The sequence below is a fragment of the Homo sapiens genome, chromosome X, assembly GCF_000001405.40.
Source record: "Homo sapiens chromosome X, GRCh38.p14 Primary Assembly".
NCBI classification, from domain to species: domain Eukaryota; kingdom Metazoa; phylum Chordata; class Mammalia; order Primates; family Hominidae; genus Homo; species Homo sapiens.
Genome location: NC_000023.11, coordinates 37,650,897 through 37,668,501, shown reverse-complemented (window position 1 = coordinate 37,668,501; position 17,605 = coordinate 37,650,897). Strand labels below are relative to the sequence as shown.

The following is a 17,605-nucleotide window of genomic DNA, read 5'->3' as shown; positions in this document are numbered from 1 at the left end:
GATTATTTAGAGTTCATTTATGGTCCTCCTGGCCCAGTTTACCCAGCTTACCAGTCAGAGGTAATATCTATTAAAAGCAATGTTGTCTGGTATACAGCAGATGTTCCATCTTTATCAAGTTTACAGGGAATGAACTATAAAGGAAAATTTTATATTGTCAAAATTATAAATATATATATATTTATGTATATAACTAGGATATATATATTTATATATATAACTAGGATATATATATATATATATAGTCCAGCAATTTCATTTCTAGAAATTTATCTTTCAGATATACCTATACATGTGCAAAATTATATATGCACAAGATTAGTCATCATAGCATTATTTGTAGTACACAATATTAGAAATAACCTAAATATCCCCCTAAGACACACACACACACACATATATATGTATTATAGTTTAGAAATTTGACCCTTCAAATCTCATGTTGAAATTTGATCCCCAGTATTGGAGGTGGGACCTAGTGGGAGATGGTTGGATCATAGAGGCAGATTGCTCATGAACAGATTGATGCCATCCTCTGGTAATTAGTGAGCTCTCACTCTATTTGCTCCCAAGAGATGACTGTTAAAAAGAGCCTGGCACTTTCCTCCTCTCTCCCTTCTTCTCTCCCCATGTGATGTCTGTTTTCCTTCCCCTTCTGCCATGAGTAGAAGCTTCCTGAAGCTTTCACCAAAAGCAGATGCTAGTGATGCTTCTTGTAGAGCCTGCAGAATCATGAGCCAGAGGAAACTTTTTCTTGATAAATTACCCACCCTCAAGTATTCCTTTATAGCAACTCAAATGGATTAAGACATTTACTTATACACTATGTATATAGAATATCTTTGGGAAGATAACCAAGAAACTGTCTCTAGGGAAGTCAACTGCATGGCTACAAGGCACAGTTGATGTATTTATTTTTATGCTTTTCAAACCATGTGACTATATTAGTAATTCAGAAAAATAATTAGATTAAAATTTTGAAAAAAAAAAAGACCCATAAAGAACAGCTGACCTTTGAGCTCGGTAGATGTATTTAGAGTTTCCCGTGAGCCGGTACAGCAGCAGGAAGACATAGGCACTGCCGGCTACTCCATGGCAAATCCCAGGCCCCTTCTTTAGCAGGCCTTTCTGCCATGTGAGTTCCCCACACCGAATACATGTGTCCAGGTACTGCGGTTTCTTGGAAACCAGATAAGCTTTGGCAAACAGATAGGCAATTCCTGTGAAAACATCAAAGATATTAGAGGTGACTTTCAGGACTTAATACTTTGGAGCAGAACTTCCAGAACAATAAAAAGCTCATGAATCACCTGAGTACTGGTAAAACACAGATTCTAATATTGTAGTTCTGATGTGGGCCCTGAGATACTGCATTTCTAACAAGCATCCTTCTAAAGACCACACTTTGAGTAGGAAGGTGCTAGAATGTTCTATAAGAGAATCTTATTTTCCCAGTGAGATTTTAATTTGTTTTAATTGTATTGTGGGGTTGGCCCCGGGAGAAAGAGCAACATTTTTATTGACGTACATAGATTGATAAAATCTAAAATTTAATTTACAAATGGGTTAATATTTAATGACGCATACTCTAGTAAGCATTATGTATATTTGGTTATTTGAAATGGCTAAATATTTGTATTGTAATGAATTTGTAGTTTAAAATTTGTAATGTTTAAGTACTTATAACTATACACATTTTCTTAAAAGCAAAACTGGGAGTTTTTCCAAGAAAAACAATGCTCCAGAAGGATCTTGCCAAGACTTCTACTTTAGCTGTGAAGTGAGTCCTTCCCACCCTGATTGTTCCAAGGAAAGAACTGTTCCTTCAAAGCTCTTCAACAAAAGTAGTATCAGTTACAAGAGAAACAAGAGAAGCAACAGCTATTAATAGAAATGATTTTCCCCAAGTTCTGGGTGTTCATATTCAGTGAGGAGGTTGGTATCACAAGATCACATTCTCTCCTGCATAGCCTACCTTTCTCCTATATAAAAAGTGTGAAAGACTGAAATATAGCTGGTATCTTGACTACCTCATCAATCAGGGTTATCATTGCCTTTCATTGCTTTGACTAGGCTATTTTACAACTCTGTAGAGATAGAAATTGTCTTGTAGAAAACTGATAGTAATGTAAATATTTTCTGTCCCTAGAAACTCACACTCTGTCTGGTAGAGGTTGACTTCCCTCTGCCTCTGTGGAAGAAGCCAGTTTTGCATCTATTAAGCAAATTTATTTCAGCATTCCTAATGGCCTATATAAATATGTCTACTCTTTGGATTTCCCTTTGAAACAGTTGTAACATCTTTCTGGTTCCCTCATTAAATAATGAGCTCAGTAAAATGGTTCATACATATTCTTTTTATATTTGTATGAGAGTCATGATTTCATACCCTTTTTAAGTGTATCCTTTAATATAGCCTGTGGTTAATACTTACAAAGCAACAAGCTCTTTGTTCAGTCAATGCTTTCCAGTCAACTACTGACAATGTTTACCTACAGCATTCTCCTACCTCAGTTTTAGGAACAAAGTACCTTGCACAAACTAAATGATGATATTAAAAGAACTGAACTTATTTATTCATACATTCATTCATTCATTGCATCCATTCATTTGAGAGTAGTCATTGATTATGTACTGTACGCACAGCCCTAGACAAGGCTGGAATCATGGGCATGCCACCTGTGCAGGCCTACAGCCCATACTCCTTAAAAGGGTTCCATGTTGAGTTTAATGCTCTGCTATTACCACCTTGAAATTCTTAATAATTTTTCTAAAAATAACTTGCATTTTCATTTTGCTATGGGCCTCCCAAATTATATAGTCAGTTCCAGCCCTGGGTGATATTGAATAAATGCTAAACATGACTCCTACCCTTCAGGAAGGCACTCTCTAAAAAGGGAGATAAAAATATATGCATATGACTGATACATAATAGGATATATATTTCATGATGCTGCTGGAACATAAAATAAATGGTTCTCTCAATAATACTAGCAGAATCAGAAAGGTGGAAGTTCCCTACGGAGATAGTTAGATGAGGCCTTAAATGGAAGGAGCACTTTTTCAGAACTTTGAAGGATACATAGAGAATTCCAGGCCCAAGATGAAGCAGGGAGGGCATTCTATCTAGCACTAAGATTAGCAAGGGCAAAGACATGGAGGCAGGAAGAAGCCACATGAAGGCTAGTGGGGCAATGTTCTAACCAACAGACCAGTGGGGAAGAAGGCTAGACTGGGTTCTGATTATGGATGGTTTTACAAATCTAATTAGATAGCTTGGACTGTACTCTGTGGTCATCAGGGAATCAATGGAAGTGTTTTTGCTTTGGATTGGTTGGCTTTTATTTTTTATATGACAATGTGATTATTATGGACAAAATGTCCCAATTTTAGTGGTATCAGGAGAGACCTAAAGAAGGGTAACAGGGTAGCTGTGAGCTGGTTATGTTAGCAGAAAGACAAAAATGAAGCCAATGACGTGTATGTTCATCACAGCACTATTCACAGTAGCAAACACATGGAGTCAACCTAGATGCCCATCAGTGGTGGAATGGATAAATAAAATGTGGTACATACACACCATGGAATACTATGCAGCCATAAAAAAAGAGATTATGTCCAGGAACATGGATGGTGCTGGAGGCCATTATCCTTAGGAAATGAATGCAGGAACAGAAAACCAAGCACCACATGTTCTCACTTATAAGTGGGAGCTAAATGATGAGAACACATGGACACAAAGATAGGAACAATAGACACCAGGGCCTACTTGAGGAGGGAGGGTAGGAAGAGGGTAAGGGTTGAAAAACTACCTATTCGGTACTATGCTCACTACCTGCATGACAAAATCCTTTGTACGCCAAACCCCAGTGACATGCAATTTACCCATGTAACAAACCAGCACATGTACCCTCTGAATCAAAGTAAAAGTGGAGAAAATAAAAAATAATAAAGTGGTTAATTGTATATTATGTAAATTTCACCTCAATAAAAAAAAGAAACAAAAAAAGCTTCTCTAAAAAAATAGAAAGTCAATGAAAGAGACATTTCACAGAACTTGGTAAGTGTTTCTATATTAATTGGGCATCTGCTATATGCCAGGCACAGTAGCAGGTGTTAAGCTTTTAAAAAGCATCTATCTTCATGGTGTTTTTCAGCTTAACTGGAAGTATTAATTAGACTATGTGAGGGGAAATAGAAGTCTCATGGAAGCACACAGGAGGGCCCCTAGCACACACTTGGTAGAAGGAGATGACTACTAGAGGGGTGACACCATCTAACCTGATTATTGGGGGTTGATAAGGAATTAGCAAGGTGTACTGGATGCTGTTGATGACCTGCATGGATCAGCTTTACCTTGCCAGCAAGTGCCTCATTTCCCAGTTCCTGTGAAAGTTGGCAACTAACAAAGCTCACTGCTGCATCTTCTTGAGAGATTTGCCCTCAGACAAATGAGAGGCTATGCTATGCAGCCACCCCTCACAGGGATGACACAGGGATACAAAATATTGACTTCCTTGCCTCAAGAGAGACCCAGCTTCTTGATGTAAACTGTGTTTCTTAGCTTCTCCTCAGACTCAGGGTGAAGCTAGTCTCCAGGTAAGACATGCTCCTCTTTGGCCTGTTCTGCTTCCCTGCTCCCTTACAGGTTCCTCTTGATACCAAGCTCTAATTCTAGAACCTGAGGAAAGAGCTTGGTGAAGAAGGAGGGTATTACAGCCAATCAAAGGAAGGTGGGTGGGAAGACCCTGCTCTTGCTGGCCTCTCTCAGGCTCTAGGTGTCCTTCTTAGATGATTGCTTTAGCCTCCTGTCCCCAGGTCTGCCATGCCTTAAATTCATTCTGTGGCAGAGTGAATGACCTTTCTAGGACCGTAATCTGACCATGACATTCCCCTGCTTAAACTACTAAATGACTCCCTATTACCCAGATGCCTTAGCATGACACAGAAAGCCCCTTGTGACTGAGCTCCTTTTCTATTTTCCCACCTCTTTTCCTCCATTCCCTTCTTGAAACTTTTCACTTCAGTAGAACCAAACCACCTACAGTGCTTCCATGCTTCTTACTACCAATGTGGTTCACTTTGCTTGGAACAAGCTTTGTACCTTTCTTGATCTGGCTAACTTACCTTAGGCATCACAACCTCCAGGAAGCCTTCCCTGGACCTGAAGGCAGCATGAGGAACCCCTCTGAGATTTCATTGATCCTATACAAACTTTAGCACTTACACAGAACCCAGTTAAAATTACCTATTTCCATGGCTGCCTCCCCTAATACAGTGCAAACTACTCAAGAGCAGAAACTGTATGTTGTTCACTTTTGTTCCACTAGTGTGTGGCATGGTGTCTGGCAAATGCCAAGAACCTCATACATGTCTGTTGACCATAAAGTGCCCCATTTCTCAACCCAGCACAGGCTGATACTGGGGTATAGATGAGAGATGTAGAAGGAAGAAGGGTGAGATGGTCTAATTGCTGTACCAGGCCATGAGCCCCAGAACGCTTAAAAGGTATTGATCCTGTGGTTCTGGCCAGGGTGAAAGAGCCTCTTCCTGCATCCTGGATCACAGAATGTTACATGGAAGTGACCTCGCAAAACTTCTAAACCAAAATTTAGTAAACCTGTTGGCTCCTAACCCAGCATAATGGAAGCCACAATAAGGCTGCTTAATTAAAAAAAAAAAAAAAGGAATGGTGGGTTTCTTTGCTTTTGATAGGAACCAGGAGCCACATCATTTCATCATAGGAACACTAATTATTGTGCATTGATAAGAAGCCTGAGTCAGTAATGATGTATGACTTTGCCAAATGCAACTGGGAAAAAGAATTATTACTTAATAAATATGTTTTGAGAGACTAAACTTTTGAAAATATGGGATCTAATAGGACCTTGTGACAGCCACACTTGGCACGTATAGCTTCAACACACTGGAGAATCACCACTGAGGTCCATTCTGGGTTGTGTAATTCCGCTGAGGCATGCATTGTACAGTGCGCACTACAGAGCTTAATGACCAACGATATCTGCACTGCAAAAGCCTTGTTGTTCTTTATTCAAAGTCACCTACCCAAGAGCTTTTATGAAATGAGTTTTTTTAAAAAAATACCCACTCCTGTACTTCATGCAGAGTCAAGGAAATGCATTGTCAGTGTTACCACAGCAATGATGTAACCTAATGCGGTTGAGAGTTTCTTTTAGCCACAGCATTTGTTTTAATGATTTTGTAAATGACTTTGGTCCTGTATTTCAGAATTGTCAAGGTTATGAAGGGGTCACATTAATCTTCCTGTAATACTTTACTGCACTTATTGAGAAAAAAGCTATATGCCACACAAGGTATTTAAAAATGTCTTGTTCACAAAGCTCTTGAGGAACAGCCCTCAGGAATGGCAAAGGACCAAAGTATAAAAGGGGGTCTGTGGTGATAAAAAGATTGAGTTCCACTACTCAGTCTCAAAGTGCTCATTTCACAGATAAAGAGACAAAGGCACTAAAGAAACAAAGTCACCCTTTCTTAAGGTCAGTAAACTGGTTAGTGTTGGAGCTGAAATTAGAAGCTGGAGTTATTAACTCAAAGAACTATTTCTACACTGCATAAATGATAACTAGGCTTGTCACCTGTGGAGGTGGGTTGAAGGAGCACCAGTAGGAAACAATTATAGGAACAGATAAGGTATCATTAATGAAGCTCCACGTTGTGAATTATTTCTGGCAGGTTTTTAATCACAGAATTAGTCTGCTGCCTCAAACCATCTGCACTGTTCATAAATCTACTCTCAAAAATGTTTTCCTTAAATAAATGAAAATTATTTTATAGTTCGTTTCCTGCATAGAATTTTTGGAGATGTTGCCAACCTCTGCAAAATCTTGGTGGTCTTTGGACTGCACTGATTAGACTTATAATCAATCTTGATGCTGTTTTTAGAGCATCTCTTCAAAGAAAGACCAATACCCTTGAGGTGGGGATAGGGGTTGGTAAAATAATGGGCCCCACTTAGTTTTTTATTCATTTTTGAATTGGTTTATTTTTGGTAGTCCAGTGAATACATGGACTGAAAGATTTTTCTTTAAAACTTATGTTTAATCTTCTCTAGATACTGAACATGAATGATAAAGGAGGATATAGTCTCCAAAGTGATGAATCCTATGCTGCACTGTTACGGTAAATGATTTACAAAGACAGATGGTATTTAGTATACAGAAAGGATGGAATAATTGCCCTGCAAGACACCCACATCAATTAACTGACCCAGTCATTCATTTTAGTAGATTATCTTCCCACTTTTTTCAGGACTATTACTAGCACATTGAATCCTTTTAAGATATTCTGTGTTTAAATTGGTATGTCTCCAAAATTCAAGGATCCTTGCTGGTATGCTTGGAGGATATCCAGAGACCATCACTGAGAATAATTAAAATAAATGAGAAATGGAAGGATTGAGGCTAACAAGAAGAAATATCATTTCCAGCATGGTAAATAACTTGTTCCCCCCCCGCCCACAAAAAAGGTCAAATTAAAAAGAAATGGGCTCAAATCATAATTGGCAGAAGTTAGCCTGGACATAACACACAATGCATGGATACTGGTACAAGCACACATTTTGAACTTCCTTCCATAGGTAAATGTAGCAGGCAGAAAAAATATGACCAATACACTGCGACTTACATTATTCATCAACTCAAGACTATACTTTCAAGGATTATTATTCATCAACTCAAACTGTACCCCCCAAAATGAAATTATAGTTGGATTAAAGACCATTAATTAATGGGAGGAAAAGGTAATGAAACTCAGGTAAAAAAACTACAGAGAAATCAAATATATTTTAAAACTGTGCTTGTGGGATTGAAGCATGGCCTTGAAAATTAAATCGACTCAGAATCTAAGAATTTTGTATTATTTTGGTATTTTAAATCTCTCCCCTGGCCATCTAACCAATATTAATTTATTTATTTGAATTTAACTTTTTTTCAAATTACCCCTTCTGTGAAGGCTTAATAGCAGTGTGATGGAATTTTTTAAAAGTGGGAAAAAGATAGGGTTTGCTAAATTTCTAGCCTCAATTCCACAGAGTTTACTGGGGATGACTATTCATGTTTCTAGACATTTTGTTTGGTACTGATGGAAATTCTCATTTGAAGAAGTTGTAGAACAGTGCATCCCAACCTTTAAAGTGCATACGATTTGTCTAAGGATACTGTTAAAATGTAGATTTTGATTCAGTGGGTCTAGGGTGGGGCCTGAGATTCTGGATTTTTATCAAGCTCTCAGTTGCTCATGCTACTGGTTCCAGGGGCCACATTTTGAATTGCCAGGCTCCAGATCTGCACTATCCAATGTAGATACTGAGCACTTGAAATGTGGCTAGTCTAAATTGACATTTGACATAAGTATAAAGTATATGCTGGATTTCAAGGACTGAATACTTTTTAAAATGTGAAATATCTCAATTTTCAAATCAGATATACATGGAGATGGTAATATTGGGGGTACACTGGGAACTATAATATATATTATTAAAATTAATTTGCCTGATTTTACTTTTTTAATGAGGTTACTAAAAATGAAAATTACATATGTGGCTCATATTATACTTCTATTGGACAATGTTAGTTTAACTTTATAAACAAATAGATATAGATCATATATTTTAAAATGTAGAGGACCATTTTCAGAAGTTGTTTACTGATCAGGACATTTGGCTTTGAAAAATCTCATCTTGACCCTTTTATCTCACATAGTAATGACATAAGATTAGCTATCCTCACTTCTCAGAAAAGGAACCACCCTGTGGCTAACCTAGATGAAAGGCAATATTTTTAGGTAACAGAGTGTGTGAGACCTGGAGCGCCATGGCACCAGTGCACCAGCTCATTCTCTCTCTCGATGGTCTCGCCGAGCTCAGGTGGCCAGTTGCAGTTTTGTTCCTGTTCCATGAGAAAGTCCACGCTCTGCCATACCAATTCCCGATCTGAGGGCTTGAGATGCTCATGGTAAGAAAGAAGCATCTGAAGAATAGACGACAAGCCGTGAGCTGCCCCTGTATTAACAAACAAGGCATAAAATTCACACAATTGGGAGGACAGCTAGTTTGATTTAGTGAAAAGATCAACAGGATATAAAACAATAAAGCCAATATTACTTGAAAGCTCATATAGCAATGTGATAACTAAGTTGCCTAAGAACTAGGCTTCTAGCAAACTATAGCCTGCAGGCCAAATATGGCTCACTGCCAGTTTTTCTAAATAAAGTTTTATTAAAGAATAGCCATGCTCATTCATTTGCATATTTTCTATTGCTGCTTTCTGGCTACAACAGCAGTGTTGTATTTGTGACAGAGGCCATACGGCCCAGAAAGCTGAAAATATTTACTGTCTCTAGCCCTTTACAGAAAAAATTTGCTGACCAAACTCTGTTTTAGAGAAGAGATCTTTTAAAACTTTGTAATTGAAATATCAGTAGCTTTCATGAAAATGCTCCTAAAATGCTTGAAAATAATTTGGTCTAGGTATCCTAAACATTTATTTTTTTATTCATTCGACACACAAGTATTAAGCATCTACTCTGTACAAGATACTGTTCTAGGTACAGAGGATAGATCACTGCACAAAACAGACTAAATCCCTCTTTTGTAATGTTAACACTAGTTATTGATATTCATTTACTTAATCCTTTACATTTAACACTTGCATATTAGGCACTGTCTAACCCTGGTTATACAGATAAACATGATTTGGTCGATACATTTGAAGACCTCTCCATCCAGTCCAATGAAACGGCCAGATTTGTAAAGAAATAATTAGAACATGACATGATAAGTGTTCTATGAGCAATGTGTACCAGGAGTATGATGGTTAATTGTGTGTGTCAACTTGACTTGGCCATGGAGTGTCCAGATATTTGGTTAAACGTCACTTCTGGGTGTGTCTGTGAGGGTGTTTCTGGATAAAAATAACATTTGAACCTGTTCACTGAGCTAAGCACATTGCTCTCTCCAATGTGGGTGGACCTCATCCAATTCACTGAAGGCCTGAATAGAATAAAGAGTCTGAGTAAGAAATAATTAGTTTGTCCTGCCTGACTGTCTTTGAACTGGGACATTGGCCTTCTCCTGCCTTCAGATTTGGATTCAAACTGGAACTTACATTATTGGCTTTCCTGGATCTGGCTTTCTCAGCCTCCATAATCATGTGAGCCAATTCCTTACAATAAATCATTTAGTTATATAAGAAATCATATTCTGTTTGTCTAGAGAACCATGACTACTACAAGGACTAATAGAAGGAATGGAGGAGAGCTTAACTTGGCCTCAGAGGTGGAGGGGATGCTGAAGGTTCCATACAGACAGTGTCATCTGAGCAAAGTCTTGAGAATTCCTCAGAGAATTCTGAACTAGCAATGGGTATTGAACTAGCAAAGGCCTGAACCTGCCTTTGGAAAAGAAGTTAGCTTAACAAAGGTCAAAGTCCAGTCCCTCTAGGAGTTTTCACTCATTCCCAGTTAGTAGAATCCCGATTAGTGGGCAGTACTAGGGTCAATGTATTCTGATGGCTTGCTCTTTAAACTCAACTCTATAACTTTAAAGCTTTCTTTTTGCATTCAGGGATCTTTTACTTTGCCATACTCAGAACTCTTGACTCCCTGGAAACAGCTTTACAGTTTGTATTCAGTCAAAATTTCTATTGCTCTTAAAATCTGATCATGAAATGTGAAAATATCTTTATTTTGCTGGATTCGAAATTGTTGGGAAAAAAAGCTTGCTTTTCAGGAAAATATTTATGCACTAGATAGAAATATAGTTTAAGCTATATATATGTAAAAAGCCAGAATGTTAATTTCTGTAACGAAAACCTGAAAAATACTGGGAGGCTAAGGTGGTAGGATCACTTGAGCCAGGAATTCAAGGCCAGCCTGAGCAACATAACAAGACCCTGTCTCTATAAAAAAAAAAAAAAAAAATTAAAGATAAAAATTTGACCAGGCATACTGAAGCATACCTGTAGTCCTAGCTACTTGGAAGGCTGAGGCAGGAGGATCAACTGAGCTCAGGAGGTCGAGGTTGCGTGAGCTATGATCACACCATTGCACTCCAGCCTGGGTGACAGAGCAAGACCTTGTCTCAAAAAATAAAACCAGAAAAATGAATGGAATAGATTAGGGGACTATAGCAGACACTGTCAGTGCCCTGGCTCATCACCTCATCTACACTCAACATTCAGATGCATCTTTGCTCCCGCTTCATATCTCAAGCATCTATCATTTTGCCTGAGGCTTTCTCTGGCCACAGGAGTATGCCCTGCCCAAAGGGGCAGGACAGAATTGCTAGGGAATTAATACCTCTAGGAGCAGCCAATCAATAAAGCAGAGAGTTGGTGGATGAATACCCCAGCTTCCTCACCCCTTGGGTGAAACGATTCTGAGATGTGTTCTATAAAGTCTCTAAGATTCCCTAGGGGAACTGAGCCTCAGTTGTCCACAGTTGCTCATTATTACACACTCAATTAGCTTCTTTCTCTTTCTTGTCTCATTTCTCCACATCTCTATCAACACTTTCTGAAATTACCTTTCAAATAAACCTTTTACACCCAAATCCTTGTCTCAGCGTTTGATTTTGGGGAAACTTAAACAGACATAAAATTTCTTTGAGAAAACTCATTGAAGTTGTTTATTAGCTATTCATTCATTCATTTGGGTTCCCTAATTATTTGCAAGCTCTGTGGTGAAGGTCTAAGAATCATGAAGATAAATGAGAGAAAGTTCCCATCCTGAAGGTGTACAAAGCCTGCTCAGGCAGTTAGGCAGGTAAGCCACTAATTACAGTGTAATAAGGGCTCCAATAGAAGTATACGCAGGATGACAGCATGTTACCCAGTTTTGCTTTGGGAGAAAACCTGAAACTTGTGAATCTTTCTCCAGAGAGGATTCAACAACCCTTTTTCCAAAAGCACGGAACATTTTTCAGCAGATTAATGATGTTTGAGCAGAGTCTTGAAATCTGGGTATAATTATTACAGATAGATAAAGGGGTTGGGGGAAGTAGGGCATTCTAGGCAAAAGGAACATGGACAAAGGTGGAAAGAGAACACCGCATGTGGGAGACTATGCTGGACAGAACCTGGAGGGTAAAGATAAAGTTTGAGTCTAGAGAAAGAGGCAGGTGGTCCATAAAGGGCCTTGCAAATCTTGCTCAGTAGTAATGGTAAGCCATTGAAGGACTCAAAAGAAGAGTAACTAATTTCCCTTTTTTTTTTTTTGCATGGCCCAGAGCTCACCATTAGCCATTACAATTCAATAGTCTGTTATAAACACACTACTATTAAAAACTTCAAAACGTTAGTGGCTGAATCCTACTTCCCTATGCAGAGGCACTATTTTCAATCGTGTGTGAAAAGTTTTCACAATGTTTCAGCAAAATCAGGCCAATGAGCTTACAATCTAGAATAAAGATATTAGTCTTTAGTGAAAGTAATTGTTAAAATAGCTACATTTCTGTCAGGTAGACTACGAAAACAAATATTAACTTGTGATTTGTGTTATGTATCAGTATAGGTTTTTAAAGAAAATTTTAAAGTATTTCTTATTAAATGACTAGTAATGACCTATGGCAAAAACAAAATCTTCCAGCCTTTATTTGGTAGTATCTTAGAGACTTTCTCCTTCCTACAGGCCCATGCAAACACCTTCACTTACCCAAGTATTCGGTTCCATAGTAAGAATACATCAGGGGGAATGGTTTCCTCTTCTTTATGGCATACTGCTTCCCAGAGTCCAGAATTGCCTGACAAATTGACTTGATCTGTGCTGGAGTCAGCACCTGAATAAGGAAATCCAGAAGTAGAAGTCAAAGCAGGATCTCCTTTTTCCTTAGACACTGAATTTTCTTGCTTAAGAAGTCTAGCATCATATCCACAGAATCCTGTACTATATGTAAATAAACTTAGTCAACGAAAATTTATTCTTTTTTTACCACTGATTCTTCCTTTGTTGTCAAGTTGTCAAACCTACCCTCTTTAGAAAACTTGCCATTTCGGTGGAAAACACACACCTTTACAGCTATAGGTTGCTATAAAATACAAAGACTACCTTATGGCTGTCATATCATTAATCCTTGTCACAGGAACAAGGATTTGCTCAGAAAAGAACAAATAGTGGTCCTAACTGATTATGCTTAACAAAGCTGTTACTCCTGGTGTACAGTGTAGGTCTGGCCCAAACATCAGACCTTCAATTTGTGTTATTTAGACTGTGCTTATAAAGACTGTACTTATAAAGCCATGATTCTGTGATAAGCTGCAGTATGACGGACTCACTGTAGGCATTTGTACTACCTGAATGAAACCAAAGTCCAATAGTGTCAACACAAAATAACTTCTAATATCAAAATGACTCTGAATAGAGAATGGCTAAAATGTAATGACTTGCAGTCTTCCATGTTTTATTCAATCTGTCCACAGTCGGTTTTAGGACTATAGAGATTAAACGGTTCTCAAGCCTTCAAAGCATCATTGCATTTATTAAGATTCTGCTCAGGTTAGCCATATGTTTTGCATCCTGCCCTTCCTGGGACAAATTAGATGTTCCCTTTGGCACACTCCCTTTATGACAGTGACATTTGCTCTGCTGCACAGCACTGTTGTGTTAGATCTCTCTCTGTTGTGTTAGAGCTCTCTCTTTCTCTCTCACTAGACTATCAGTTCTTTGAGAGCAAACACTGTGGCACCTCATAATTTTGGTATCCTTGGTGCCTAACACAGAGTCTGAGGGGGGTCCTTCACAACCGATGAGTGAGTAAATAAGTGACAGTTTAACTGGTATGAAATTCAGAGCCCTCCCTCCCTTCATTCTTTATTCGCTTCCTCCGTCCCTCTCTTTCCCTCCGCTCCACGATTGTTTCTTAAGCCTCTACTACATTCCAGGCAAGACTGTTCTGGATGCTGGAGATATGACAGTGAGCAAGATAGACAGAACCTGTGCTCTCATGAAGCCAATCTTCCCAAAAGGTAGACCTGCACAGGAAACGTACTGGTCAGATTAACCAAAACTAAAAAACATCTAAGTTTAGTCTGATTGAATGAATCTGGGATCAATAAAAAGTCCGTTGGATTTTGGCCTCTCTCCTAAAACTGACACATTTAATTTTCCTACCCAATATCCAGCATTAGACCAGCCAATTCCTTTTGAAATAAGTTTCTAATGATTTATTCATAAATTGCTCCTCTGATTTACCTGGTATTAGAAGGAAAAAATATAATCCAGCTTTGGTTTCCCAAAATCTAGCATTTAATTTGGAAAAATAATTACTTCATGAGGATACCATTCATTAATTAATTCTGCCAATTAACATTTATTGAGCTACTATTCCAGTAAGGTCCCACACTAGGTGTTGTGGAGAAATTTGAGAAACCATGAGACATATTTTTTCCCTACAGGCAAGTTACCATCCAGCACTGGAGATGAGATATAGACAAGAGTCTACAATAGAGCAACTAAAGCTCATGAGCCTAGAGATAGAAAGAAACAGTAATGCAGAGTAGGTAAGATGGACTCGGCTTCAGTAAGACTACATTCTCTTTTTTTTTTTTCTATTTGCTGAAATAATGATGTCATGGCTTTCAACTTAAATTTCCCTTTTATTAACCACTCTCTCTGTCTCTTAAGTGTACTCCTCCTAACATTCCTGAAGACCCTATCTTCCTATGCTGCATCCCCACTGTCCTATCATATCAGCCCCAAGTCTTCTTTCCTTAGCTTAATAGCAAATTTCTCCTAAATGATTAAATACAACCATTCAAATTGCTACCATAATTTTCATTTGGTATTGAAAACATTTACTCTTTGTGTCTTTATCAGTGCCAACTGATCTTAAGTTTAGTCTTACACTACTTAAAATCTTGCATCATCATTTGTCTCAAATCAACCCCTCTTTCTCAGAAACCTGCTAAAAGCCCTGAAGGGCATGCACTTAATTGGACTCTATCCTGATTGAATCCCATAGTCTTCTGGGAATATATCTGGCTCTGCTCAATATTGATTTTGAATCCATATGACAGAGGAAGTTTTTGTGGTAGGAAACAGTCACTGAATTTTCAGGGATGTATTCATTTGCACTACTAAAATTTTTCCTATTTGACTTTCATGCCTATAACTGAAAATTGGCTTATTTCCCCAGCTGAACATTTATTCATATGTTGTGTGTGTGTGTGTGTGCATGTCTGTGTACGTGTGTGTTTGCCTGCTTATTTTTAACCCAGAAAAAAATCAACTTACACTATATGTGGTGCCCTCCCCCTTTCTTTCTATCCCGAATCCACAGCTTAGAATAGGGAATGAGTTTATAAAATATTATTTCAAAACCTCCCATGGTCATGTATCATGTCTGGGTGGTTTCCTCTTATCTCTCAGAAACACTGTGAAAAACAAAGAGAAACCGGCGCTTGTTCGGCTGGATAGAGACCAGTTATGCATGCAGTTCTTTATCTCTGGGAACAGACAAGACCTACCCTCAGTTTACTGATCAGCAAATAAAAACTAAAAACAGAGTTCATTAAAAGCCTGTGTGTGGGGAACACTGAGGAAGAGTATTTTTCGCCCCCGAACAAACAGTACAGAAAGAAGAAGGGAGTTGAGATTCTGGGGTAAGGGCTTGAGCTTGTTCTCCTGTGTCTGCTTTCTCAAATATCCCTCCACTCTCTGCCCCTAGTACACAGGAGCACAAGCATGAGCACACCCACTGCCTCCAAAGATGGCCTCTGTGCTTTTGAGACACTCTGAGATCCTGGGAATGAGGGAGCAGCATTTCCGGTGGGGGAACAAAAATGACTAGGAATGGCAGAGCGGGGCTCCCTGGCCATCAGGCCTTCACCAAACAAACCCAAATTATTCCCTCTCCTGTAGTTGTAGCCCCTAAGATCAATGCATTTGTTGATATTTTGGATGGAATAGATTCTTTTCTTTTTACATTGAATTAAAATAAATTAAGATATTTCAAAAATACGAAGCAAATCTGAGGTGGTTTGGTTTAAACCGTTTTGTTTAGTTTAACTGATTCACTTTACTGACCTTGTGAAATATTCCTATTGGTTTGGCCTGAGTATGAAGAGACAAGAGGGCAATAAAGCTCATACTATATTTCTTGGCCCTGCCTGAAAGTCATGCTATGACTGAACTACCTCCATGCAGAGGAGAGATGACTTTCTTTGAAAAAAAAAAGTCAATAAAAAGGACCAAACCACAGAATGCTGGCCTCACCACTGACTCCTTCCCAAGGCAAGAGTCCTACCTACAGGAAGTGGCAGTCTTTGCTAGCTGTATTTCTTTTTCTAGGCATCAAACACCTCCTGCCCCTCCCCCATCAGCACTGACTGAATATGCGAATAGCAACTAAGTCTTGGGTGTGCCAGTGTCCTAAGGCATACAATGCCAATCAAATTCCTCCTCTCAACAATTTGAAATGCATGTTCAAAAAAAAAAAAAATGAAGCTGTCAGCAATCCCAGCTGCTGCTGAAGACAGGTCAGGAATGGGTCCATGCATAAACTGAGGTCAACAGGGAGTAAGCAGGGGCTGTGATGGAGAAAAACAGAATAAACCACCCAGCAGTGAGAGTGAAAGGAGACTGACCAGCAGTGAGAGTGAAAGGAGACTGACCAAACACCACATGTTCTCACTCATAGGTGGGAATTGAACAATGAGAACACCTGGACACAGGAAGGGGAACATCACACACTGGGGCCTGTCATGGGGTTGGGGGAGGGAGGAGGGATAGCATTAGGAGATATACCTAATGTAAATGACGAGTTAATGAGTGCAGCACACCAGCATGGCGCATGTATACATATGTAACAAACCTGCACATTGTGCACATGTACCCTAGAACTTAAAGTATAAAAAAAAAAACTTGCAAAAACCAGAAAAAGAAAGTTTATTATATCAGTAAAGAGGGATTAGGAAAAAGGACACAAATAAAAAGAATGTGAGTGTGCATATTCACATTATTTCTATTTTCTAATATTGGTAAGTCTTTTAATTAGTTAAAAAACATAAACTTAACTATAAAGAATAACAAAATTGCCAACTCTAAAGACTTTAAAAAGTCATAAAATGAAACAAATTTAACTGCATGTCAAGTTAAAGGCATAACCGCACAGATAAAATAATTAATTTTTTAAATAATGGTTTTTTTCATTGTGGAAGACAGTGTGGCGATTCCTTAAAGATCTAGAACTAGAAATACCATTTGACCCAGCCATCCCATTACTGGGTATACACCCAAAGGATTATAAATCATGCTGCCGTAAAGACACATGCACATGTATGTTTCTTGCTGCACTATTCACAATAGTAAAGACTTGGAACCAACCCAAATGTCCATCAGTGATAGACTGGATTAAGAAAATGTGGCATATATACACCATGGAATACTATGCAGCCATAAAAAAGGATGAGTTCTTGTCCTTTGTAGGGCCATGGATGAAGCTGGAAACCATCATTCTGAGCAAACTATCTCAAGGACAGAAAACCAAACACCACATGTTCTCATTCATAGGTGGAAATTGAACAATGAGAACACCTGGACACAAGGTGGGGAACATCACACACTGGGGCCT

General features: G+C 38.6%; 1 protein-coding gene across 3 annotated transcripts in view; it reads right to left on the bottom strand.

Moving 5' to 3' along the window:
- Window positions 1-17,605, bottom strand: part of LANCL3 (LanC like family member 3) — a 112,803-nt gene that overhangs the window by 15,962 nt on the left and 79,236 nt on the right. For 2 of the 3 annotated variants that reach the window (NM_001170331.2, XM_011543904.3), the window contains exons 2-4: window positions 12,691-12,814; window positions 8,843-9,040; window positions 1,013-1,220 (exon numbers count right to left, since the gene is read on the bottom strand). In NM_001170331.2, coding sequence (NP_001163802.1) covers window positions 1,013-1,220; window positions 8,843-9,040; window positions 12,691-12,814 — 530 coding nt within the window. Of the gene's footprint in view, window positions 1-51; window positions 135-1,012; window positions 1,221-8,842; window positions 9,041-12,690; window positions 12,815-17,605 lie in introns of all 3 variants that reach the window. The other variant, NM_198511.3, reaches the window with a different exon arrangement.